The 24,704-nt window shown below is 51.8% G+C and overlaps 1 protein-coding gene and 2 long non-coding RNA genes across 6 annotated transcripts in view, besides 8 other annotated features; 1 reads left to right on the top strand and 2 right to left on the bottom strand.

Annotated features, from left to right (window-relative positions):
- Positions 1-42: part of an enhancer, noted in NCBI's record as "OCT4-NANOG-H3K27ac-H3K4me1 hESC enhancer chr1:203487943-203488774 (GRCh37/hg19 assembly coordinates)", that runs on past the window's edge. NCBI's record gives its function as "activates a minimal SCP1, AML or CMV promoter by ChIP-STARR-seq in naive and primed H9 embryonic stem cells {active_cell/tissue: H9 hESC(naive and primed)}" and the evidence as "EXISTENCE:reporter gene assay evidence [ECO:0000049][PMID:30033119]".
- The window catches only part of LOC124904488 (uncharacterized), a 19,430-nt gene extending 13,470 nt beyond the window's left edge, over positions 1-5,960 (bottom strand). Inside the window, exons 1-2 of the long non-coding RNA XR_007066809.1 lie at positions 5,764-5,960; positions 5,131-5,214 (exon numbers count right to left, since the gene is read on the bottom strand). This is a non-coding gene — a long non-coding RNA (uncharacterized LOC124904488). The remainder of the gene's footprint in view (positions 1-5,130; positions 5,215-5,763) is intronic.
- The window catches only part of LOC105371688 (uncharacterized), a 15,727-nt gene extending 542 nt beyond the window's left edge, over positions 1-15,185 (top strand). The window contains exons 2-5 of one of the 4 annotated variants that reach the window (XR_007066807.1): positions 34-5,345; positions 6,676-6,807; positions 8,103-14,115; positions 14,804-15,185. This is a non-coding gene — a long non-coding RNA (uncharacterized LOC105371688). Of the gene's footprint in view, positions 1-33; positions 5,346-6,675; positions 6,808-8,102; positions 14,579-14,803 lie in introns of those variants that run through there. The other 3 variants (XR_922442.3, XR_007066808.1, XR_007066806.1) reach the window with 3 other exon arrangements.
- Positions 875-1,706: an enhancer, noted in NCBI's record as "H3K27ac-H3K4me1 hESC enhancer chr1:203486279-203487110 (GRCh37/hg19 assembly coordinates)". NCBI's record gives its function as "activates a minimal SCP1, AML or CMV promoter by ChIP-STARR-seq in naive H9 embryonic stem cells {active_cell/tissue: H9 hESC(naive)}" and the evidence as "EXISTENCE:reporter gene assay evidence [ECO:0000049][PMID:30033119]".
- Positions 1,102-1,396: a silencer, noted in NCBI's record as "tiled region #9714; K562 Repressive non-DNase unmatched - State 21:Repr". NCBI's record gives its function as "represses a minimal TATA promoter and a strong SV40 promoter by Sharpr-MPRA in K562 cells {active_cell/tissue: K562}" and the evidence as "EXISTENCE:reporter gene assay evidence [ECO:0000049][PMID:27701403]".
- Positions 5,180-6,379: an enhancer, noted in NCBI's record as "P300/CBP strongly-dependent group 1 enhancer chr1:203481606-203482805 (GRCh37/hg19 assembly coordinates)". NCBI's record gives its function as "activates an origin of replication core promoter dependent on BRD2, BRD4, P300/CBP, MED14 and CDK7 cofactors, with strong dependence on P300/CBP, by STARR-seq in HCT116 cells {active_cell/tissue: HCT116}" and the evidence as "EXISTENCE:reporter gene assay evidence [ECO:0000049][PMID:35650434]".
- Positions 5,583-5,632: an enhancer, noted in NCBI's record as "active region_2353". NCBI's record gives its function as "activates an Ori minimal core promoter by ATAC-STARR-seq in GM12878 lymphoblastoid cells {active_cell/tissue: GM12878}" and the evidence as "EXISTENCE:reporter gene assay evidence [ECO:0000049][PMID:35858748]".
- Positions 5,783-5,842: an enhancer, noted in NCBI's record as "active region_2352". NCBI's record gives its function as "activates an Ori minimal core promoter by ATAC-STARR-seq in GM12878 lymphoblastoid cells {active_cell/tissue: GM12878}" and the evidence as "EXISTENCE:reporter gene assay evidence [ECO:0000049][PMID:35858748]".
- Positions 6,367-7,107: an enhancer, noted in NCBI's record as "H3K27ac hESC enhancer chr1:203480878-203481618 (GRCh37/hg19 assembly coordinates)". NCBI's record gives its function as "activates a minimal SCP1, AML or CMV promoter by ChIP-STARR-seq in primed H9 embryonic stem cells {active_cell/tissue: H9 hESC(primed)}" and the evidence as "EXISTENCE:reporter gene assay evidence [ECO:0000049][PMID:30033119]".
- Positions 9,908-24,704, bottom strand: OPTC (opticin). The gene is made up of 8 exons (NM_014359.4): positions 24,640-24,704; positions 22,621-22,892; positions 21,742-21,880; positions 20,018-20,176; positions 19,006-19,208; positions 15,848-15,943; positions 15,112-15,307; positions 9,908-10,211 (listed from the first exon to the last, which is right to left on the bottom strand). Exons 2-7 carry the CDS (start codon positions 22,849-22,851, stop codon positions 15,137-15,139), a joined length of 999 nt encoding a protein of 332 aa, NP_055174.1. The 5' UTR covers positions 22,852-22,892; positions 24,640-24,704; the 3' UTR covers positions 9,908-10,211; positions 15,112-15,136.
- Positions 13,974-14,149: a silencer, noted in NCBI's record as "fragment chr1:203473836-203474011 (GRCh37/hg19 assembly coordinates)". NCBI's record gives its function as "represses an EF-1alpha promoter that drives an FKBP-Casp9 reporter gene in an ReSE screen in K562 erythroleukemia cells {active_cell/tissue: K562}" and the evidence as "EXISTENCE:reporter gene assay evidence [ECO:0000049][PMID:32094911]".

The following is a 24,704-nucleotide window of genomic DNA, read 5'->3' as shown; positions in this document are numbered from 1 at the left end:
CATCTTTTCTCCCTATTTTCTCTTCCTGGTCAGGGGAGCAAGTGCGAGGTGTGTATTAGTGGAAGTCCAGCAGAAGAGATGGCGAATGTAACAGGGCTGGGCTAAGGGGAGCTGGCGAGGGAGTGCAGAGCACCTTGAAGGCAGCAGAGCAGAGTCATTTGGGACCTGGAGAGCGCACGGCTGGAGGAGGGGCTGCCCCACAGAAGCGTGGCCTTCACAGGGGAGAACCACGGTCACCCCAGGCCCAGCAGGGTGTGTAAGTGAGTGGAGAGCAATCCACAGCCTTTCATCCTCACAGTCAGGTCTCCATAACTGACCCTACCAAAGGCCTGGTTGGTGCAGCCTTAGAAGTCAATCCTTCAGGTACGGGGTGCAGAGCAGGGTGGGGCAGAGTGGAGAGTGGGAGGTGGGGTACAGGGAGCCTCTGGAGCTTTCTTTCTGTTATTATTTTGTGTGTGCTTTGAGACAGGGTCTTGCTGTGTTGCCCAGGCTGGAGTGCAGCAGCATGATCACAGCTCGCTACGGCCTCGACCTCCTGGCCTCAAGTGATCCTCCTACTTCAGCCTCCTGAGTAGCTGGGACTACAGGCTTGCATCACCATGCCTGGCTGATTTTTTATTTTTATTTTTTGTAAAGATGAGGTCTCACTATGTTGCCCAGGTTGGCCTCAAACTCCTGGGCTCAAGCCATCCTCCAGCCTTGGCCTCCCAAAGTGCTGGGATTACAGGTGTAAGCCACCATGCCTGGACTCTCTGGAGCTTTCTGAGGAACAGACAGGGTGGCAGTGACGCTCTGTGCCCCCGAGAGGGGGTGGGCTGGAAAGCAGAACATGCTATTCTGTGTGCGCCCAGGGCAGCTTCATCCTTCTGGCTTCTCTGACCACCACCAGCCATGCTGGGTGCAAGAGCCCCAAGGGAGGGCCCCTGTTCTTTCCCTGGGGTACCCAGAGGATTTCCCATACTTGCATAGGACCTGGGGGTCAGGAGGGGGAGGAATCAGGAAGAAGAAGCCGCCTCTGAGAGAAGGAGTGGGAGAGAGCCAGCAGCAGAGCTGTCTCCCAGCTTCTCACTTTCAGAAACACACTCGCTGCCGCAGCCTTTTATTCTTCCTACAAATTTGTACTGCACACTTACTGTGGGCAAGGCCAGTTCCTGCCAAGCACAAGCTTGTGCTTAGGCAGCTGTCAGTGTGGGCACGCCCTCCATGGCTGCCTGGCCTGAGGGCAGGCTCATTAAGCGAATGAGGAGGGGCAGTGTCAGTTCACCGGCTGCCTCCTCCGAGGAATCTTCCAGCCCACCCCAGCCCAAGGCTCCCTTCCTGTCCCGAGCACCATGTCTGTCACTGTTAGCATTATTGCCTACAGTTACTGCCCCCCAAGTATAACCTCCCCAGGACCCATACCTAGGAGGGAGGGAACTACAGGCAGTGGAGGCCTCTGCTTAGAGATGCTCTGTAATTCTGACTGCCCCATGCTCACCTCTGGAAAGAGAGGCAGTTCAATTACCCAACCAATAATGTAGCCATTTTCTGTCTGTTGGGCAGGTGAGACCAATAATACCAGCTGCCCCCAGCTCCAGTCCCCCCTCCCCTGGCTCAGCATCTTAGCACATTTGTTGCTTAGCAAGGGAGGGTGGTTCCCATGACTTTCTGTTTCTTTGCTCCCCACTCACCTAGCAGCTGATGGGGAGTGGGAGGACAGTGGTCGCCTGTCAGCTTCCCTGCTGTCTTATGTGCACATGGCAGGGGTGCCGTACAGCCTGGAGGCCTGGACAAATGGAATTCAAGGGCTGGGGAAAGAGTGGGCTGAGGCCTTACCGGTCACACCTACAGGCTGCCGAGCCTGCCAGGCAGCTTCAATTGCAGGGTTCGGCTCCCAGAGAGAATGGCTGCTGTTCTATTCTACCTTGGTCCCTGGGATGGAAACCTGATTGGATTGAATCCTAGGATATGTCATTTTCCCTCTGCTAGCTGCTGGTCCCAGCGTCTCCCATACCTGATGGTGTGAGGCTGGACCAGAGCCGGTATCTATGCCAGGAGAGTCTGGGGCTTGGCCTGTTTCTGGGGCACTGGGGCACTGGGGCAGGGAATAGGTCTTGGCTGCTAGGTGAGCTACTCCTCAATGCACCCAGGAGCTTTCCAGATCCATAGCCCTGAAGAGAGAAGAGAGAAGATCTCACGGACTGTTGATCTTTCACCTTTCCCTCTCTGCTGTCCCCAACCTGTCATCTGTGCCACAGAACTGAGGACCTAGTTGGAGAGACAGACAGGTGAGATAGATGGCTGAGAGAGGGACCAAACTGCCCCACCCCCAGCCAGCCCTTAAGAACCTCCTTTTAAAATTGCTTTGCATCATATTTCTCTCCCTGCTCAGCCCCACTGGCTCCAGCAGCTCTGGCCTCCTCATCCATCATGCTGGCTGCAGGGCACGAGCGTATGTCTTGCAGAGAAACCTTTCTGCCCTAGGCCTCCAAGGGGAAGGGCTCAGCTGTCAGAGAAGAGGGCCGTTTCCAAAGGGGTCAAAGCGCTGGACCCTCCAGGATTGATGGGCTATGAATTATGGATGTCGCATCCGCCAGTCCCAAGGCTCCAGAGCCAGAGAGGGTATCCCTGCCTTCCTTCTTTGTTGGCGTCTTCTCTCTGGCATCCCTTTAGCGTTCGCTCATTTCATATTAGGTGCCTTCCTGTACTGATGTTACTTGTCGGTTGCTTTGTTTAATGGATGGGGTTGATGTGCACCCCCGCCCTAATCAACCGGGACCCCTGAGCATAAGGGCTGCTCCTCTTCCATGGCTAGTATCAGCCACACTTAGGTGCTCAGTATCATGCGGTCACCTAGTCTTACGAAGAATGAAGAGTGGCTCCAGGAGTCTATGAAGGCAGCAGTGAGGCCAGACGGTGCACAAAGTGGCCACAGGGACTAACTTCCTCCCCCCAGCAAACAGCATTTCACTGTGCTCTGAGCAAGGATTGCCCCAACTCTTTCCTCCTTTACCCCCACTTCTTCCTTCCTTTGGGGTCGCTGGCCTCTCCTTCTGCTGCCCCACCCCACTCTGCTTGCATTCCCAGGCCTGTCCCTGGCAGGGGCTCTCCCAAGCAGTGTTCCCTCTGCCCAGCCCCACCTCCACCTTTCTCCCCTGCCACATGCCCACATGCTCAGGTAGCCCCCTCATGCCCTCCCCTGGATTCAGCTGTTCCCTCTGCCAAAGAGTCCTACCTCTGTGGAATGATTTTCAGCTCTTACCCTGAATGGCTCCTTGGACATCTCCGAACCCTTCTCCCATCCAACTCTGCTACCTCTGTTCTCACACAGTACTCACATCTTCCTCTAATCTACATGCATCAGCCTCCTCACCAATTCCTCAGACTCCAGGCTTGTCCCCATCAGTCACAGCCACCTTTCACAGAACTTCCCAAATCTCCACCTGAGCCTTCTGACCAATCACCCCTCCATGAAACTCCAGCAGGAGCTCCTTTCATGCTCTGCCCCCTGAAGCCGCCTCTCCTGCCCTCTCCACCCCCACCTCTGCTCACGCCACATGCGCCAGCTGCTGCCTGCACAGTGCTCCCTCTGTTGAGGGTCCCCGAGTGCCTTCCTTCCCCCACCCTATGCCCAGGAGCTTCCACCAGTCCTAGGTGTCCTGGTCCAGCGTCCCTGCTTTCAGGATCCTTCTTTGGTCTTTGCCTCCTCATGAACTGGCTGCTCCACATTGGTGCTGCCATTGGCCATGTGCATGCCTCTGTCCCCACTTACTGCTTTATTTTTATTTTATTTTATTTTTTGAGACAGAGTCTCGCTCTGTTGCCCAGGCTGGAGTGCAGTGGTGTATTCTCGGCTCACTGCAACCTCTGCCTCTCCAGGTTCAAGCGATTCTTCCACCTCAGCCTTCTGAGTAGCTGGGATTACAGGTGCTTGCCACCATGCCCAGCTAATTTTTGTATTTTTAGTAGAGACGGGGTTTCACCATGTTGGCCAGGCTGGTCTCAAACTCCTGACCTCAGGCAATCCACCTGCCTTGGCCTCCCAAAGTGCTGGGATTACAGGCGTGAGCCACCGCTCCAGGCCACTGCTTGGTATTTTAATGTTCTATTCCTGTACCTGTGCAACTCCCTCCCCACCTCCTTGCCCTGCTGTATGTCTCACATCTCCAGCACCTGGAGTCCCTGGCATGTAAGAAAGGCCTCTACATCCTGAACAAGGGAAATACATTGAATGAAGGAATGACTAGAAGTGAGCCGGTCCGGTGGGCAGAGGCTCACAGGTAGGGGTTGAAAGCGTGGGCGTATGGAGAGGCAGGCTGGAGGAGCAGCATTTGAGGTAAATTAGAAAATAGCGCGAGATTTAGCCACAGGGGGAGAAAGGCTTTCAATATACAAAACACCCCTTCCCTCGCTGCTCCTGTCAGCACCTTCTCAAAGCGAGGAAAATAAATCTGTTTTCTTTATGACAAAGCCTGATTTGATGATAAACCCTCTCAGCTTCCCGGGAGGTGGCAGTGACTCTGATAGGTGGGGAGGAGGCAGGAGTAGGTAAAGGAAGCGGGGGCTGGGGGAGAGAAAAAAAGAGAGAGAGAGACTGAGGCGGGGGAGGAGAGGGAGAGAAAGCGCTTGTTCTGTGCGCTGATTACTAATGCGGTGGAAAAGCTGGGCAGGTTCTGGAGGGAGGCATTTATCCTGCATGAGAAAGCAGGCAGTGTGTTTCAGAAGCTATCCACAGGCCCCCCCGCCGCCAAGCTAGAGGGAAGGAGATGGGGAAGGAGAGGGCCGGGCAGGACCTGGGGCTTGGCTCTGCCCTGAGCCACAGCATGAAGAGGGACAGAGCTGCTGAACTCTTGGCTCTCAGGGCCACAGTCACCTGGGGCCCTTCTTTTTCCAGGGGGCTGCTTCATCCGCCGAAGTCGCAGCCTTCTTCCTTGGGGACGTGTTTACAGGGTCACTTGGCTCCTTTCTCTACCTTTCTGGAGGGTGGGGGAAACCCAGCCCCATTCCTGGCACCTAAAGTTGGAAACTGAGGGAGGCTCCTGGGAGTCCCCGTCCCTGAGGGAGGGGTGGTGTCTTTGGGGTGGCTGGGTCTGAGCAGCGTGTGGATGCCGGGGAGCCAGGGGGCATACCCCTGTAACTTTCCTCTCTTACCATGAAGAGAAGCAGAGCCGTCTGCCACAGGGTTAGGCAACTTGTCCCTCATCCCTTGTGGGGACCCCTCTCTGAGTAGCCTTCCTGTTAAGAAAACAAAAGAACATGTGAGATCACGGAGCTGCAGACTGCACCTTGGAGATCACTGAATCTTCTCTTCTCTTGGCCAGAGGAGGGGATAGAAGAAAGCAGACATGCCTGAGGCCACACAGCTGGTTAGTATCCAAGCGGGAGCAGTGGCCCCTTCTACCCAAATTCCAGTCTCCACAGTGCAGCCCCAAACAGGGGCCTCTGCTTCTCCTGTAACCCAAATCAAACAAGGCCTTCCTGCGTCTACTGTGAGGCACACTTCAAGCTGGAGACACACCCTAAAGAACCCAGTATCTGACTCTAAAAGCTTTAAGACACAGTGAAGCACCTGCCTGAGTCTTCTGGAGACGGTGGCCTGCATTACACCCACACTTCCTTCAAATGCTCTCTGTTCCCTTTCTTCAAAGCCCCACACCTCCTGGAAGCTGCTCACTTTCTCCCTCCCTCTGCAGGCTCCAGCCCATGAGGGGTTCCTGCCCTTTCTCCACCGCCCCTCTTCTAGGTCTCCTTTCTCCATTTCTGTTCCCCATTTCCACTCGTTACCTTGTTGCCTGGTAGCCAAGCAACAGATCCTTCCTCTTTAAAAGGTTAAACTTGCTCTGGTCACTGTCACCCTCCAGTCTGTGAATCATGCTGCCTTTCCCTCCTGCCTCGTGTTTTCAGCATGACTAACAGGCAGAGAAGGCGGCAAGGGGTGTGGGTTTCTCAGAGAAGGATCCCGTGCACTCACAATAGAATCCTCGGAGGCTTTCCTATCCAGGACCCTGCTGCCTCTGACCGCACCCCAAGCCTTCTCTGCTGCTCACATGGGCTCCTCTCTCCTTTGTGCTTTTTGCCTTCTGTCCCCACTGCCTGGAAAACGTTCCCCTCACATTTTGCATGGCTGCTGCCTTCTCATCACAGAGGTCTCAGGTCAACCATCACTACCCCCAGGAGGCCTTCCTTGACTGCCCTATCTCCTGTCACTGGCCTCCACTACCAGTCACTGCCATGTTCACTTCCTTTTGTTGTCATCTAGCACCTGTCCCTGTCTGAATTGTATCATTTATCTGTTATTATTTGTTTATTCTGTTCCTGCCTGTCTCCCTGAGGCCAGGGACCTTGTCTGTCTTTATTACTATGCTGACCCTGGTGCTCAGCACTTAATAAAGAATCATTAAAACAAAATGAATGAAGGACACTAAAGGTGGGTAAGATTGAGTCAGGGCCTGGATCTGTGTAAATCTCTTTGTCGATGGGGCCTTGCACACTCAAGGGTTCCTTCTCTACCCTGCTCAGGAAACTGAGACTCAGGATTTACGGGAGACCGGGGACCTCCTTGGTTAAGAGTTAGGACATCCCCATCAGCCCCTGAGATGTAGGAGCTGTGGCTGCCTGCTCTGTTCCGGGTGGGGTGTGTGCTCTTGCTTCTGGGGTGTTGATGTCCCCAACTTGTCTATTTCTCCTTCTTTGCAGGCTGTCATAGAAGTTACTTGGACAACACCACCCACCCCTGGGGGGTGGGGTGGTGGGAACTTGCTTGGTGATGGCAACAAACAAACAAACACTTTCCCCTTCCCACTTCTCTTCCGGTATTCCAGACAGGAGGTAAGTGGGCAGTTCCTGGACTTCATGGAAGTAATGAGGCAGTAAGTTTGGTGCTGTACCCTCTCAAACTGTAATGCTCTAGAATGGAGAGGAGCAGCAGAGAGGCAGGGGCGTGCCAGGCCACCTCTCTAGGAGTTCATGTCCCCATTAGAAAAAAAAAGAAAAAACTGGAACAAAAGTCTGAGAGAGAGTCTCGATCAAGAGCTCAAGCCTAGCCTAGAACACACTCGGGCTTGTTGTGACTCTGTTTACCAATAAGCAGGAAGGAGCCTATTGTACTCAGGGTTACAGAAGCGGAAAGAAATCCCATGAATAGGAGCACAGGAGCCAAGAAGTTGGGCTCAGAGACAATAGATAGGAAGGGAGGGGGTGTGGGAAGGGAGATCCAGACTGGTGAGGCTTAGAGGAGAAAGCCAGGTGTGCAGGGGCCACCACTAGGAACGTCAGGAGAGGAGGGGTAGAAAAGGAGCCATTTACATGGTCAGATTTCTGTAGCAGGTCTGCCTCCCCACCGTGCCATGGAGCGAGCTGGCTTGGCATAAGATTTATTGGGTATGTTCTATGAGCAAGGAAGTGTGAGTGAGGCAAGATGGATTCAGCAGGTGTGTCAGACACGCAGTTCTAAGGCCAGAGGGCCAGCAGGCTTTGCACTCAGGTCAAATTTGAATATCTAGTCTGCCTCTTACTCCTCACTGTGTGACCTTGGACCAAAAGTTAACCTCTCTGCCTTCTTTTTTTTTTTTTTTTTTTTTTTTTTGATATGGAGTCTCACTCTGTCGCCCAGGCTGGAGTGCAGTGGCGTGATCTGGGCTCACCACAAGCTCCGCCTTCCGGGTTCAAGCAATTCTCCTGCCTCAGCCTTCTGAGTAGCTGGGATTACAGGTGCCCACCACTACACCTGCCTAATATTTGTATTTTTAGTAGAGACAGGGTTTCACCATGTTGGCCAGGCTGGTCTCGAACTCCTGAGCTTAGGTGATCTGCCCGCCTCGGCCTCCCAAAGTCTGCCTTCTATAAAATTGGGGTAGCGCCCACCTCATCAGGCTACGATGGAGATGAAACGTGATGATGTGTGTAATGTGTAGGGCTAGCATGATGTCCTACAGATGGTGGCAGGTGCTTTCTGCAGCCTGCACCTCTGGCCCTGGCGTAAACCAGAGAAGATCACCATCTGCACTAGGTAAAGCCCTGCCTAGACACAGGTGCATGGACCAAAGGACCCTGAGGACTCTTTGGTCCTTTGAAATATTGACTTTCTGACAGCTTCCTGTCTTCATTTCCTATCATCTCTGCAGGAATAATGTACTGATCTGCTGACATTAAGAAGGACCCTATTTTCAGATTACTTCTTCAAAGGAGCAGCATCTACATTGGCAAGGTGATTACAACCCAAGCACACAGCTGATTTGGAAGACTTGAGTCCCAAAAGATGACTTTTTTTTTTCCTCCTCCTCTGCAGGATGCTTTAGCTTGAAACATCTGGGTAACTGCTTAACACCTTCCTATTTTGCAGAACATTCCCAGCATCGGGGCCGTTTGCATCTTTCTGGGCTAGTATTTTTCAGGATTATTTAGAACCAAGGACCTCATGCACTGGGGGAGGTCCTGCTCCTCTCTGCCCACCCCGTTTCTCATGCCCCCACTTCCACCTCCAACACTCCCTCAAGGGCAGAGGCGCTCATCTTCCACTGTATGTCCGCAGGGTTAAAACCTGCCATGTTGCCTGTCTCCCAGGACATGGCTCCTTCAGGGATTTCTTTCTTTTTTTTTTTTGTTTTTTTGTTTTTTTTTGAGACACAGTCTCGCTCTGTCACCAGGCTGGAGTGCAGTGGTGCAATCTCAGCTTACTGCAACCTCCACCTCCCAGGTTCAAGCAATTCTCCTGCCTCAGCCTCCTGAGTAGCTGGGACTATAGCGCACAGCACCACACCCGGCTATTTTTTGTATTTTTAGTAGAGACGGGGTTTCACCATGTTGGTCAGACTGGTCTCGAACTCCTGACCTTGTGATCTGTCTGCTCGGCCTCCCAAAGTGCTGGGATTACAGACGTGAGCCACTGTGCCGAGCCTCCTTCAGGGATTTCTTAGATCTCCAAGAGAGGTGCTGCGGCTCTCACAGGTGTTGGGCTCCAGGAGCCTGTCCTGGGAGGCAGGGGGCCTCTCTGTGGGAGGAAGCACCTCTCCTAAGACTGCCCAGTGATCCTTGGGGGACACTGATTATGGACAACGTGTAATTCAAAGGTCGTTACCTTTGGTTTCAGGATGGGTCAGAAAGGGCCTGAAAAGCTTGGATTATTCTCTCTTCTGCATGGACTAGAGAAGGGTCAGGAAGGCCTGCAGCTAAGCAAGCTTTAAAGCCATGGTATAGTTGATTTGGGCTCAGAAAGCTCAACTTGTGAGACTAGACTGATTGTGTGTCTGTATTTTCTGTACTTCCTTCCTTTTCTCCTTTTACCATTTGATACCTCTTTGTCAATGGTAGTCTGTGCTACTGGGAACAGTAGGAGAGGGTTGGGTCTTTGTTCTTAGACTAGAAATGTAATAAGATAGGGATAGGCACCACACCCCTTGGGCTTGGATATGCTTTGAGCAACAGATTTGGAGTGAGGGAACTCCAAGGGGCCAGGACAGAGTGAGGTGCTGGTGTGATCAGGATATAGGGTAGTCAAACTCAGGTCTTCAGATTCTCATTCCAGTGCTCACTCCCTTGCATCACAGTTCCTCTACAGATGCCATAACAAGAAACACTTCCACTCCCTCCTGTGTCTGAACTGTGTGTTAGACACAAAAGAAAATAATTCTGGAGTCGGTACAGTGGCACACATCTGTAATCCCAGGAACTCAGGAGGCTAAGGCAGGTGAACATTTGAGCCCAAGAGTTCAAAACCAGCCTAGGTAACCTAGTGAGACCCAGTCTTTTAAAAAAAGAGAGAGAGAGAGAAAAGAATTCCTGAAGGCAGGGCTGGGACTGGTAGTGCCAGGAGGAAACAAAAAGCTATTTGCTGTGGTGCCTGAGCACAGAAGGAGAATAGAGAAAAAGGAGGCAGAAGGAGTGCAGAGGGGAGGAAGGGGAGAGCAGGGCGTTCTGTGTGGGCTCATTTGAAAGGAAGTACACAAGCCCATCCAGGCCATGGGTTTGGCCATATCTGGAAGGGCTGGACAGGCCAGGTTGAAGACAAGAAGGCCTCAGTGTGGGGAATTTTATTACAATGAGGCAGGAAGGAGGTGGTCCTTGGGCTTCTTTGTCACCCGCAGGGAGAAGGGAGACGTGAGAGCTGTGGGGAAAGAAGCAGGCCTCCTCCCCCTGCATGGAGACCTTTGTCCATGCTGCCGGCGGCCACAGGAGGGAGGCGTGTGAGATGGCGGCTGCTGGAGAATGTGATGCCCGCTGGTCCAAGAGATGACCTTGAGAGAGAGGAGAGACAAAATTGAGCTGGTGTCTAGTGTGGGGGAGAGGGGAGGGGCAGGTGAGGTGGGAGGAGAAAGCTGAGAGGCAGCTAGACAGGGAGGGGGTGGGGAGAGCCGGGGCCACCTCCCCGTCTGGTCTGTCTGCCTCTGTCCTGGCCAGAAGGAAGGAGGACACAGACACAGGCATGTAGGGGTGCGGCAGAGATGGGGGGCCGTGTGTCTTTGAGCCCCAAGGTTCTCCTGAGCTGAGACCTTCATTACCTCATGTGCTTCCTAAGGATACAGGCCTTGAACCTGCTGGGGGCAGGCCCTGGACTCAAGCTCCATAGGCAGCCCCCCTTTTTCTAGCCTGGGTGATGCCCTCCCGAGTCCTTGCTTTTCAAAGCATTTTGGGGGGACGTGGTAGGGGCACCCATCCTCTGCTCCAGGAGCTGGAGATGGGATTTCCCATTTCTCTGACAAGAATTCCCAAGAAGTGATGGCTGTCACTGCAGCTCCACCCCCATGCCCATCTTTCTTTTTCTGTTATAGATTGTTTATGTTAAGTCATCTTTCTCTGGGACAAAGTACTTAGCCTCTCATTTTCATCAGTAAAAGCAGGGATAATAATTCCTTCCTCACAGAGTTGTTAGGACTGCCAAATTAGGTCCCATATGTAAAAGAGCTTGCTGAAGTGCAAACTGACAGCAGAAATGTAAGAGATTACTATTCCCAGGGAAGAGACAAAAGAGAAAAGGAAGCAGGAAGGGAGTCCAGGCAAGGTCAGGGTGGGGAAATGGCCTTGGCTCCTAAAACAGACTTAGCTCCAGCCTCTCCAGCAGCCCCTCCCACCCTCCCTTCTCCACGAGCCTCCTCTGGCCCTAGGCCTTGCTGGGTAACCTTTGGAAAAACAGGACCCTGGAGCTGAGAATGGGGCAGGCAGAGGGGGAGGTCATTGCAAACTCATCCTTTCTCTCACGGAGAGGAGGGGCCCTGGCCTCTTCCCCTTGACCTCCTCCCGCTGATACTCATAGGACAGGTTAGGGCAAGACCCTCCTGAAGGCCACAGGGTGCCCCAGAGGAGGGAGGCACTCCCCTTCACACAGAGCTGGCAGAATAGTCACCAGGGTGCCGCCCAGAGCAAGTGCCCTTGCCAAGGTCAAATATGAGTTGCTGCTGGGCCACAAAGGACCTGGATGAGTGAGGTTAGGAAAGTCTGGTGTTGGAGGAGGTGGATGTGATGCAAACCTAGACTGCCGGCTGGCATGAGGCCCTCAAGCTAGCTGCCGTGCCTGGCTGGACCCCACAGCCCCTCCTCTCACTCCCTTCCTTTGTACTCTCTCAGGGCTGGCTTGCATCTGCTCTGTGTCATTCTCTCCATCTTTACCATTCTACAAGACAGGAGGGCCTCACTCTGGCTAAAGAGGTGCTCTCTGCCTTCCCTGCCAGTTGCCCAACCCTAACCCCTTTAGGTACCTGAGAAACAGGAGGCCTAGCTGTTCACATCAAGATCGAGAAGGAACAGCTGTGGGGTTTCTCTCTCTCTGTCTCTCCCCATCTCTCTCTTCCTCCTTCCCTCCCTGGTGCAGAGGGACAGATGCTCTGTTTAGAATTTCTTCAGGGAGACAGACAACAAGGGCATTCTTTCTATTCCTTGGGCTTCCCTAGCCAAAAATGGGGGATTAGCCAAGAGACAGCTGCAGAGGCAGCGGCCCTTGGGGAACCCCTCCCGGAGCAGCAATGGCCTGGGGAAAGAAACTCTCTGGAGCTGGCCTCCTTTAATTGGAACTTGAAAATGGTGTCTGCATTGGAGTGTGGCAGAGAGCAGGACTTCAGACTCTGGCTGGATGGACCCCGGATTGAATCCTAGCTCTGCCACTCTCTTGCTGTTTGGGTTTGGGCCTCTCCCCTTTCAGAAGCCTGTTTCTTCATCTGCAGTCTGAAGATGAGCATCCCTACTCACTAGGGTTTTTGCTGGAATTAAATGAGTTGATGCACAGAAAAGCTTCTATTATAGGTCTGGCAAACTCCAGGAGTCCAGGGATTGTTAGATCTCCTGTCCCACAATAGAGCAGGAGCCAGGTGACTTTCTGTATTCAGCAAAGAGTAACCGAGAGGCATGTGGGAATGATGTGGCTTCCAGTACCCAAAAGCCCCAGTTCTGGAAAACCTTTTTTTTTTTTAATTAGATTTTTGAAAAAATTGGATTCCTCGGCCAGGAGTGGTGGCTCACACCTGTAATTCCAACACTTCGGGAGGCCGAGGCGGGCAGATCACCCGAGGTCAGGAGTTCGAGACCAGCCTGACCAACATGGAGAAACCCTGTCTCTACTTAAAGTACAAAATTAGCCAGGTGTGGTGGCGCATGCCTGTAATCCCAGCTACTCAGGAGGCTGAGGCAGGAGAATTGCTTGAATCCGGGAGGCAGAGGTTGTGGTGAGCCAAGATCACGCCATTGCACTCCCCCCTGGGCAACAAGAGTGAAACTCCATCTCAAAAAAAAAAAAAAAAGAAAAAAGAAAATTGGATTCCTCAATCCAGGATCTCTTGCATTTGGAGAACTTTAGGCTTTCAGCTGTTGCATGCCTAGGCCTTGTCATAATCCAATAAAGCAGGATATGGAACGGGATATTGGATATGGAAGGGGATAGGATTGGTGGATGAAACAGAGAAAGGGAGAGAGAGACAGAAAACACACACACACACACACACTCTGAGAGAGAGAGAGACACACACAGAGAGAGAGATTCCGCTGTAACAAACTCTTGGAAGACAGAAAGAGGAGGCAAAGGAGAGGAAGGGCCAGTGACAGCTCTGCTGCTCTGAAAGTCAAGGGGCCCTTGGCTCACTGCCTTCCCCGTCCTTCCCTGGGGCCAGGTGCGCTGGAATCCTAGATTCCCTGGGAGTGAGGGTAGGTACCATGACGGCATGAAGTCACCTCCCACCACCTTCAAGACTTCCCACTGCCAGTCTGTAGCCTGTGTGTTGAGTCCTGGTCCAACCCTGAGTCACCCGTGTGAACTGGGGTCAGTGATTGGTCTCTAGTTCTCCATCTCTCCATCTGAAGAATGTGAATAATAATTTCTGACTTGGCTGTTTACAGGACCGCCGTGAGGATCCAAGTGCACAGTGAGGTGGGGGGAGGCAGATACATGGATTCCTTTCCACGTGGCCCACAAGAAACACCTGTCCCTCCAGACTCGGGGACCACCAGGGACCTTGAATAGTTGCCTTGGCAACTCATTGCCTGGCTAACTCCCACTCCTTTGGGTTTCAGCTTAAACATCAGTTGTGCAAGATCTTCTGGACCCCTAAGTTGGGTCCTCCTCTTGTAAGCATTCATAGCATTCTCTACATACCCTTTACAGCACTTTTATGAGTTGAATAGCATGGTTATTGGTGTGCTTATTTGTTTCACACCTGTCTTTTGCACTAAATTCTAAGCTCTCTGAGGAAAAGGAATATGTTTCTGTTGCGTACCATCTTATCACCACGTAGCAGTGGGTGCTCCATAAGATCCTCCTGCGTGAGTAAGTGAATTCCCTGCCTCATCCCTCTCTCATGCCTTAGCATGAGGCCTGAGGCCAAGAGCCCGTCCATCACATACCCCTTGCCCAAAGCCTCCTTATAACGGTCAGGAGAAGGGTGGCATCTCCTCCTCTCCCTTCTAACTCAAGGAACAAATCACTGGCTACATGATAGTTGCCCTTCCTCCCATCCTTCCAGCATAGTAGCCCCTGCCCAGGATCCAAAAGGCAGAAGGTGAGTAATTGCTATTTTTATTTATCTTTGCACAAGGCTGCCCTCTGGTGGTCGAACATGTAGGAGCGAATGGGAAGGATGGAAACCCCAGTAGCCAGGAACCAGCCCAGCTGGCTGAGCCAACCACGCTCAAGAGACTGGCCAGCGAGCCAGGGAGTAGGTAAGTGCTACAAGAAGCGCATCTGGGTGAAGATTCGTGTCAGTTCTCCATCCTTATGAATGGCTCCCTCCAAATCTAACAGGAGGCCCTGGCCTCAGAAGAGCAGGAAATGAAGGAATGCCCTATAGAAATCTTACCTACCTCAGCCCCAGTAGGATGGTGTGCAGGTAGGGGGAGCTGGTTTAAGTAGCTATTCTTTCTCCTCAGTGGTATGCAGGCAAACATTTTACAGTCAGCTCTCAAAAAAGGAAATCCCAATTTGTAGTGTTTACCAATTTCTGTAGTGTAAATACCCCTACCATGGCCCATTTTAAACCACCGATATGATGTCACTGAATGAGGAGCTGGAAGAGATGCCCAGTAGCACACCATTATCTAGAGTTTCCCCCATACAGACACCATGGACAGAAATAACTTCAAGGGCACGATTAATAGTGAAATATAGTAAACTAATTGAAAATGATGATTTTTGAATAATTATTACATTTGTTTTCAATATAATATATTTAATTGTGAGTTTATATAATTTAATTTTTCATAATGGCTGTGTTTAACAACTGACTTGCAAAATTCTGGAAAATTTAGTAATCGGTTCCTGCAAGTAGTAAGAGCTGGCTCCAGCACATCACTGCTCTCCTCTTCCCCACTTCTTCCTTCTCTTCCTCCTCCCCCTCTTCCTCTCCCACAGCTTTCTTGGCATTCTGTGTGGGTGCAAGAGATGGGGAATATGGAAAAGAGCTCCACTGCAGACACTGCTATTTTCTGAGCCAGGAGCCATAAGTGTCAAGGAAAGAAGATGGAGAAATGCAAATTTGGCTACTGAAAAACATTTCAGTACATGAGTGTGTGTGTGTATGCATGCGTGTGCATGTGTGTGATATTTGCAAGGGATCGAGAGGTTGATTAATGCCTGGGCTAAAGATCACCGTTTAAAGATAAGGAATTGGGCTTTATGGCTGGAGGCCCATGCCTGCATGGTCCTTGGAGGGTTCTTACCTGGGAGGAGTGGAAGGGCTCCGAGCTACGTGAAGCGGCCGATGGGGAGCCGAGGCAGGCAGAAGTAGGCGCTGGGGAAGAGGCTGAGGTTGATGGGGTTGCCATCCAGGCGGATGTCTTCCAGCTGCCTGCGGGTGTGTTTGTGCTCCTCGGGGTCACAGAAGACGTCTCTCTGCATGGTCTCTATCAGGTTATTCTGGGAAGAACACATACCAGCTGAGCCTCACCAAGAGGCTCTGCCCCTTAAGCAGCACCAAAGGCTCACATCAGCTGTCCCTACCAGCTCTGCCTGCTCTGGTGCAACTGGAGAAACTGAAGCATCTAGGGCCAAAGCCACACAACAAGGGTGAGAAGAGGAGCCCCAGGGGGGATGGATGGAGAGAGAGGGCACAGATGAAGAGGAAGAGAAGGGGAGAGAGGAAGGAGGGAAGGACTGAAGGGAAGGAAAGAGACAGAGGGTAGGAAAAAGAGAGAAGGAAAAGCAGTTGGGTGAGATAAAATAAAATGGTGGAGGGAGAGAAAGTGTTTTAAAAAGAAAAAATGGAGAAAATCAAACTGGGGTCATGGACAACTATTTAGACAAGACCTCCCAATCCTTGTCTCCAATAAACCCTCCAATCAAGGAGACCCCACAGCTGCCTAAGCCTCATGCCTCTCTCTGCCACGACCTGCTCCTGGTATCTAACTTCCATCCTCCACGCTGTTTATCACCCTTGCTCTGGGTGGTGCTCCTTACCTGCAGGTGTACAGAGCGCAGGCTCAGGGGCAAAGGCCCCGGGATAGAATCCAGCAGGTTGTCTGACAGGTAAAGGAACTGCAGCTTCTCCATTGCCTGTGGAGAAAGCAAAGAGTGTAGGAGGCTGGTGGGTCCTGTTGGACCCTGGCAGTGAGGAGGGCTATGAGACCAGAGACAGGTGGCCCCATTTGTTCACTCAGGGCTCACTTAGCCTCAGCCATGCGCCAAGCTCTGTGCTGGGTGCCACAGGGGTTGCCCAGGTCTTTAAGGATCTTACAGACACTAACTCCAACTGGATGCAGGAGGAAAGCTGCTACCATTGAGGTGCCAGCCACTGAAGTAGGAAAGAGCTAATCAGCTGGTAATGACACTGGGTAGTGCAGGGGAGGGGCAGGGACAGGGTAGAAGGGAGGACCAGGGGACATTTCCGCTTTGCCTCAACTTCTCTGCTATCAGAAAGGACTTTCCCCAATGACAAGTCTCCAAATGCTAAACCTGGGGCCATGGACAATTATCTAAACAAGACCTCCCAATCAATGTCTCCAATAAACCCTCCAATAAAGGAGACCCCACAGCTGCCTAAGCCTCATGCCTCTCACTGGCATGACCTGCTCCCTGGTATCTAACTTCCATCCTCCATGCTCTGTTTATCGTCCATGCTCTGGGTGAGGAGCAGGTACAGAGCAGACACTCGGGAGACAGCCAGACCAGCAGAATGAGAACCTCAGGCACAGAGAGGTACACAGTGTGTGCATGGGACCGTGCTCTCAGAATTAGACAGTGTTAATCAGAGAAGCGTTTGGGAAGAGACAAGCCTTCAGCAGGGCTCAGGGAGCAAATAAAAATGATAGTTACCATTTATGGAGCATCTACTATGCGTATCTAACCCTCCTGTTCTCTTTGTAAAATGCTATCTTATTTAACCCTCCAGCAGCTGTGTCAAGCAGGTATTATTACCCTCATTTTGCAGATGAGAAAACAATGTCAGAGAGGTCAGGAGACTCTCGCACAAACCCAGGTCTCTGTGGCTCCAAAGCCCAGGCCTTATCCTGGGCTGAGAAAACAGCTCTGAGTCAAGGCAAAGCAGCGCCTCCTAATATGGAGACAGCTGGCATGTTGCTGAGGCTGAGCAGTGGGGAACTTCAGGGATCATGCAATCCCGTTCTTTGAGACCGAAAAACTGAGGCCCGGGGTCACGTGGCCGGCTTCTGATTCCCAGTCTAGTGCTCTTCCACCACAACAGTGGTAGTGACGCTGTTCTGTAAAACTCCCTCAAAGACCACTGCAGACAGGAGAAGGCTGAGAGGGTGGAAGTCACTGGGGAGGGCAGGGCAAGAGAGCAAGCAGGTGTGCCTCTGTGCTCTCATCCTATTTCAAAAATGCAAGTCTAATTTGGTTTATTTGATGCTTCTAAATAGGAATTAGATTGCGTAAAAGATTCTACTACTTGAGAGACAGAGAGAGAAAGAGAGAGAGCACATGGGCGAACACACCCGGGGCTCTTCCTAGCCCTATTGAATGGGCTGCCCCAGTGGGCATATTTGTGTCATACAACTTAGCCCTTCCCATCAAAACTGGCCAGCCAATGACCAATCAAATAGTCTCTCTTGGACAGGCACAGTGGCTCATGCTTGCCATCCCAGCTCTTCGGGAGGCCAAGGTGGGCAGATCACCTGAGGTCAGGAGTTCGAGACCAGCCTGGCCAACATGGTGAAACCCCATCTCTACTAAAAATACAAAAACTAGCCGGGCATGGTGGTGCATGCCTGTAATCCCAGCTACTCAGGAGGCCGAGGCAGGAGAATTGCTTGAACACGGGAGGCAGAGGTTGCAGTGAGCCGAGATCATGCCACACTGCATTCCAGCCTGGGCGACAGAGCCAGATCTGTCTCAAAACAACAACAACAAAAGTCTCTCTTGAGTATTTGATCATAGAAAGACAATGATTCATCAGTCACTTACTGAAGGGTTTTGGAAATAAAAGGATACGTAGAATTAGGGCCAGAATCAGCACTATTCCAAGCCAAACTCACGTGTATGTTTTCAGGGAGCAGAACCTGTGAGTGTGCAGAGGATGCTGGTGAGCAAACAGGTGAATTGAGCAGATGCACAGAAAGAAGTCAAGACAAGAGGCCGTGTGTCCCAAAGAGGGAGAGAGAGTTGTCCACCTGGACTTCTGAACCCCCATTCCCAGTACAGGTTGAGTATCCCAAATCTGAATATCCAAAATCCAAAATGCTCCAAAACCCAAAACTTTTTGAGCATCAACAAAGTGCTCAAAAGAAATGCTTATTGGAGGCTTTTGGATTCTGGATTTCAGGTTAGGGATGCTCAGCCAGTAACAGGCCCATGAGGCCTGATAGTACTGTTTCCATTCATGGAGGTTCTTGGGATGGCCTTTTCTTGGGTCAGAATCAGTTTCTTGCAACTGAAAGAATCAATAAATAGCAAATTTAAAAGGATGAAAACAGTGGGTGGTGGTGATGGAGGTGCATGGTGGGAGTGCAGGTGGGTGGTACAGGTGGGTAGTGCAGGTGGGTGGTGGTGGTGGATATGGGTGGTAGGAGTGGAGGTGGGTGGTGGTGGTGGCAGTGGAGGCGGGTGATGGTGGTGGAGGTGGAGGTGCAGGTGGGTGGTAGAGGTGGCAGAGGTGGAGGTGGGTGGTGATAGAGGTGGAGGTGGGTGGTAGAGGTGGAGGTGGGTGGTGGTGGTGGAGGTGGGTGGTGGAGGTGGAGGTGGGTGGTGGTGTGTGGAGGTGGGTGGTGGTGTGTGGAGGTGGGTGGTAGGTGGTGGTGGAGGTGGGTGGTGGTGGTGGTGGTGGTGGTGGTGGTGGTGGTGGAGGTGGGTGGTGGAGGTGGAGGTGGGTGGTGGTGGTGGAGGTAGGTGGTGGTGGTGGCAGTGGTAGGTGGTGGAGGTGGGTGGTGGTGGTGGTGGTAGGTGGAGGTGGTGGTGGTGGAGGTAGGTGGTGGTGGTGGCGGTGGTAGGTGGGTGGTAGGTGTGGAAGTGGGTGGTGGTAGAGGTGGGTGATGGTGGAGGTGGGTGGTAGAGGTGGAGGTGGGTGGTGGTGGAGGTGAGTGGTGGAGGTAGGTGGTGGAGGTGGGTGGTGGTAGAGGTGGGTGGTGGAGGTGATAGATAGTGGATCTAAGGCCTTGACTCACCCTGAAGGCTGCAGGCTGTATCCCCGAGCTCTGGAGCCGATTTAGGCGGACATCCAGGAACTCAATGCCACTGGGCAGCACGGGCAGAGCTTCCAACTGGTTCTCTGGGAGGATGAGGTCCTGGAGGGCATGTAGCAGGCGGAAGGCATCATTATCGATGGAGGAAATGAGGTTGTTGGAGAGGTCAATCCTCTTCAACTTTGCTGAGAGAGGTTAGGGGAGAACAAAGAGAGAAACCAGAACACACTATCTTTCCTTGTCCAGGTTGGAGCTGTCTCCACACCTTGCTCCATCCCTCTCAAGATGAGGGGATTCTAACCAGCTCTCCACCTGCACTAGGCCCAAACCAGAGGAAATAACATAAACCAGGACTCCTTGGAAAAGCCCTCGGATGCCTCAGTGCCCCTCCCTGGAGTTTTGTCCTGTGCAGTGGCCGTCCATCTTGCATCCTTTAGAAGAAGCCTCTTGAAAGCGAGAACCAACAGGCCCAGGAATCCCTGGATCCACCTCACCTCCACTTGTGAGTCTAAACAAAAGGGCACTGAGGCCTGGAAAGGCTCTGGGTAATTAGTGGTAGAATTTGGATCAGAACCCAGGTCTCCTGTCTCAAGCAGGGCATAAGGCATAAAGAAGCTAAAAGCACACAAACAACCCTGTAAACAGCATCAGTGCCATGGAGAGTAGATTTAAGACTGTCCTGCCCAGAGGCCAGCTGATCACACAGCTGTCACTGCTGGGACATCCTGAAGATGCTGGCAGATCATACCTTCCCCTCCCAGCTTCCCAGACGTTTTTGGAGAACAAATAAAAACAGGTCCCTTCCACCATCTAAATACTTCAAGGAAGGGACTTCTAGAGACTTCGGGCTATTTCCCTTTGACAGCTGGAGGGACTGAGAGCCAACAGGAAAGAGCTAACACGGGGGGCACTAACACAGTGTTGGTGACTGTCCTAGTGGCAGGGTGGCTGCATATGCCTGCCCCCACTCCTCTTTTCCCAGGGCATTACATACTCAGCCCTTTGAAGTCTTCGGCCCTGATACGGCTGATGCGGTTGAAGCGTGCATACAGGTAGGCAGTCCTCCGAGGAAGAGGAGGAATGTCCTCTAGGTCAATGTCATCGCAATACACAGAGGAACCGAGGCACACGCAGACCAGGCAGGTGGGCAGACCTGGCCCAGGTGGAAGACAGAACAAAGGGAGATCTCTTTAGCCTCTGGGGCCAATGGCCCTCGCCCCAGGGAGTGTCTGAACCATGGCCATCTGTGCCTTTTTGATAGCCTATGGGTTGCTGCCCAGAACTGACGGGCACCATGTACACGGTGCTGTTGTCTGCTCCCCTGTCACTCTGTCCTCTACCCCAGAGAGGCAGGTCCATCCTCAGTTACTACCCAGCCCAAGCCCATTTATACTTTCAGCAGACCCTGGTTCTGTGTACATTTTCCTGGGCCTATGTGGGTGTTTCTAGGAAATCCCTTGGTCTCTTTTCCACAGGATTCCTCTCTGGTCCCAAAAAGTAAAGCCAGAATTAAGTGGGATGGCCAGTGGTTGCTGGCTCTGCCATCTGCCTTGGGGAAGAGAAATTAGACATGTTCTGTGTGGCTCCAAGAAGCACAATAGAACCAAGGTGGAGTACAGTGCCTACCCAGCAACCACTTCCCCTTCTTATGGCATCAGCATGCCAATTTTTCTTTGGGAAGCAGCCCTCTCCTGTTCTGTCCATGACCCTGTCTCTGTACCCACGGGTAATGAGGTTAGGCCAGGTCAGCCACCCCAAGTAGTTGGGGAGACTTTATTGGATCATACAACTGAATAGCGCAGGTGGTTTCTGTCACTTGCTATCACAAGGCACAGAGATTACTGAGAGACCAGTTTAGCTCAACTCAAGGAATAACTCTGGTAGCAGTGACACAGCCCCCAGATTAAGGAGCTCTTCTCTGCCAGCAGTGACCAGGAGGAGTGGGTAGAGCAGAGGGGCCCCAGCATCTTTCTTATCCTGAGGCTTTGAATGGTGGATTCAGCTGAGGCCCTTTATGGCCTCTTTAAGCCTGAGACTGTAGCTCTGAGAGGTCATGGATTCCTGACTGAATGGTTTTCCTGCCAATGCCCCAATACCCCAGGTCCACCCAAGGCAAACATCCCGAGAAGAGAACAGGGAAACCGCGGGCAAGCAGGTCCAGAATGAACTTCACCCCTCCTCTGCCCACTTCTGATTTCCAGCAGATTGCTGAGGCCTCACTGCCAGGGATGCCAGCCGCAGCCTCCAGGAGGGCATCAGGGAAGGAAAGAGAGCTGCTGAGGAGGGACTTTGAAGCTGAAAAGCAGTGTGACTGCTTCATTTGCTCCCATGCCAAGTGACAGCCACAAAGTTAGTTATTCTTCTCTACAGGCTTTTAATTGTCTGTAATCTAATTACCACTCAACCTGCTTCCCCCGTCATGCTATTAATTAAGGCAGGGTGGCTTTGCTAGGGCATAAGGGAGTTCTTGCATTTCTTTGCTTCTTACTCAACTTGTACATTCAGGCAAAAGTATTAGGGACAGCCAGTGCCAGTCTTTGATTTCTTTTTTCCTGTTCTTACTGTGGCTATTTCCCCTTCTCTCCCTGCTAGTAAGGGTAGCCCTGACCCTCCATGCCCCAACCCCAACCACGTTCCACTTTGGTACCCCCTGGTGCTGGGTCATAGCTGCTTGGCCTATGACCTAGGGATATTGCGACCATGTGACTGTGCACTTACCATGGTTGGGCTGGGAACTCAGTAGCAGCCCTGCTGTAGTAGGTCTGGTCATCGTGGGGTTTGACGAGGGTGTCCCTGGAGCCGTAGTGCTCTTGGCGGGACTGATGCTGGTTGCAGGAGCGAGGCTAGTCACCTTAACCTGGAGATGTAGCACAGAGTACACAGTAGCCCAGCTTTTGCACAAAAGGGACTTAACTTTGGACTCTGGGAACCTCAGTGATGGATTTCAAACCAGCAAAGAGTCACTGTGGAGGAGGAGGAGGGAAGGATAGCAGAAAGACTGTGCAAAAAGGGGACCTGACAGAGCATCAGGTCCAGCATGTCCATCCTATGGATGAAGAAACTGGGGCCCAGAGAGGAGAGGGATGAGGATCAAAGAGCCAGCAGGTGGTCAAGGCAGAGACGAAACCTGCTCTCCCGATTTCCCAGGCCGGCACTCTTCCCCTGCTCCACACCGACCAGGCTCACGCACAATTGAGTAGGGGCTTCTGGGCTTGCACCCCACGCTGCTGCAGTGAAGGCCAAGAGGACCTGGGAAAGAACTTCAGACTGGAGGACAGTTTCAGAAAAGAGATGGGGGATGTGGCACTTTTATTTCCTAGAGAATATGATGAGGACATTGCGAACCCCTCCCCCAGTGAGACATAGCTTTGGCAGGGGGAGGCAAGTATGAGTTTTGAAGAAGGAGAAGTCCCAGGTTTGTGTCCTGTTTCTTAGTATCATCTAAGTGACAAGTCCCTATGGAGGGATAAGAATTTCCACCTCACAGAGAAAGAGGTGGAGGCTGGAGACACCCGCACTTTGGGGCAGATGGGAGGGCCCTGGCCTCTGACTCCCAGTGTCATGCAGGGAATGTAGTTGGTCTGCTGTGTCCCTCACCTCGGGGAGTTGGTCCCCATAATCTGTGAGCTCCTCATAGTTGCTCAGGTCAATGACTTCACCATAGTTGTCTGGGTTCAGGACATCATTCCGCAGAGGCAGAACTTCAAAGGAATCGCCTTCCCTGGGCATCTGCTCCTCTCTCCTCTTCCTCTCCTTCCTTGGGAGAGAAGCTGTCCCTGTCTCCTGCAGCACCAAGGCCAGCAGACTCAGGAAAGCCAGGAGCCTCATGGGGAGTCAGATGGGACTGAGAATCCCTTCAGCGGCTGGTCCTGGCAAGTGGGCACGAGGAAGGGCAGCGATCTGAGGGACAGGCTCTCCAGAGTGTTGTGGGAATGGCTCGCAGATTTACTCCACTTCCCACCCCCACACTTGCAGACTCAGTGCTCTCATCACATGCACAAATTCCCTACCAGCTGGGACTATGTCTTGGGGGGTATCTCCTAGCAGCCCCCTCCCTCCACCGCCCCACTTGAGTGTTTTTACACGCTCACCCAAACACTGATATTCACTCACAGAGGCATGTGCAGACACATCTCAACACAGACACATTCACAAGAGTCCCCTTGTTTACAAACGAGGCACACACTGGTGCATGCACACAGATGTCCTCTCTTAAACAACCCCATGCTCAGAACATGACTGCTAGTCACTAAGCTCGATTTAGAGAATGTCAACATCAAATAATCTTATGGGGTCTTTTTGTTTGTTTGTTTTTTTGAGACGAAGTTTCATTCTTGTTTCCCGGGCTGGAGTGCAGTGGTGCGATCTTGGCTCACTGCAACCTCCGCCTTCTGGGTTCAAGCGAATCTCCTGCCTCAGCCTCCTGAGTAGCTGGGATTACAGGCACCCACCATGCCTGGCTAATTTTTGTATTTTTAGTAGAGAAGGGGTTTCACCATATTGGCCAGGCTGGTGTCGAACTCCTGACCTTAGGTGATCCACCCACCCTGGCTTCCCAAAGTGCTGGAATTACAGGTGTGAGCCACCGCGCCCAGTTGACTCTTGTGGTTTTTTATAAAGATCATCCATTCATGCATTTGCTCAACAAACATTTATGGGTGTCTATTGAGTTCCAGGCACAGGACTTGTCTCTGTGGGTACAGAATGAATGAGGCACAGCCCTTCCTAGGAGCACCTAGTCTCTTTAGGAGACATGGACTTACAATGAAACATACAATGTAAAAAAGAATGTTAGTTTATGAAATATACTTCTAAATGCAGCTTTTTAGAAACAGATTATTACAGATAAAAGAGTTCTTTGTGTGTGATTGCATGAGTGTGTACGCATCTGGAAATTTCCTTAGATACCTGTGTATATTTGTGTGTGTGTGCACACAGATGCCTGCGTATGTATGTGATATGCATGTGAGTACAAATGTTCATGTAGTTCGTATATGTATAGACGGGTCAGGAAATGCATGTGGTGTGGTTTTGTATCCAGGCATAAGTGTATACAACAGTCATACCCAGTGTAGGCTTAACACAGCCCTCCCCAAAGCTAGCTGCACAAGTTTCTAGTAGACTCTCCCTCTTTCTTTCTTTTAAAATTTTTTTTATCTTTTAATTTTTATTTTATTTTCTATTTTTAAGACGGTGTCACTCTGTTGCCCAGCCTGGAGTGTTATGGCATGATCTCAGCTCACTGAAGCCTTAACCTCCTGGGCTCAGGCAGTCCTCCTGCCTCAGCCTCCCAAGTAGCTGGGACTACAGGCGTGTGTTACCATGCCCAGTTAACCTCCCCACCCTTTCTTAATTTTAGCTGGGCAAGGGGGCAAGCCTCTAGCAGTAGCAAGAGGTGTTTCTTCACCTTACCTCCCATACCTCACCCCAAACGAATTACATAATCTCAAAAAAAATTTTTCTAAGAGAGTTTAGTGCCCACCCAAAAGTCTTGTCCAACTTCTTTGGCCAGAGGCCTAAACTCTCTTCATTTTCCCTTCCCAATCCCCTGCCCCAGCCAAACACTTTGCCCTCATTTGCGCACCGATGGCCAGAGGCCTCAACCTTGAGCCTTACCCCTTCAATGCTTCTGGATCCTGGATGGAGAGCCCTGCAGCTTCCAGAAAGGTGGGGACTCTGGT

Source organism: Homo sapiens, chromosome 1 (assembly GCF_000001405.40).
Source record: "Homo sapiens chromosome 1, GRCh38.p14 Primary Assembly".
Classification (NCBI taxonomy): domain Eukaryota; kingdom Metazoa; phylum Chordata; class Mammalia; order Primates; family Hominidae; genus Homo; species Homo sapiens.
The sequence above is the reverse complement of the archived record's forward strand: the minus strand, read 5'-3'. Positions and strand labels throughout refer to the sequence as shown.

Bases quoted from the DNA above. Each gene is read 5' to 3' on its own strand.
- OPTC (NM_014359.4), bottom strand. From the start codon at position 22,851: ATGAGGCTCCTGGCTTTCCTGAGTCTGCTGGCCTTGGTGCTGCAGGAG. The intron at 20,177-21,741 runs GTAAGTGCACAG...CACCTGGGCCAG, and splicing joins GAGTTCCCAGCCCAACCATG to GTCTGCCCACCTGCCTGGTC. The intron at 15,308-15,847 runs GTAAGGAGCACC...TGTTCTTCCCAG, and splicing joins TGCGCTCTGTACACCTGCAG to AATAACCTGATAGAGACCAT.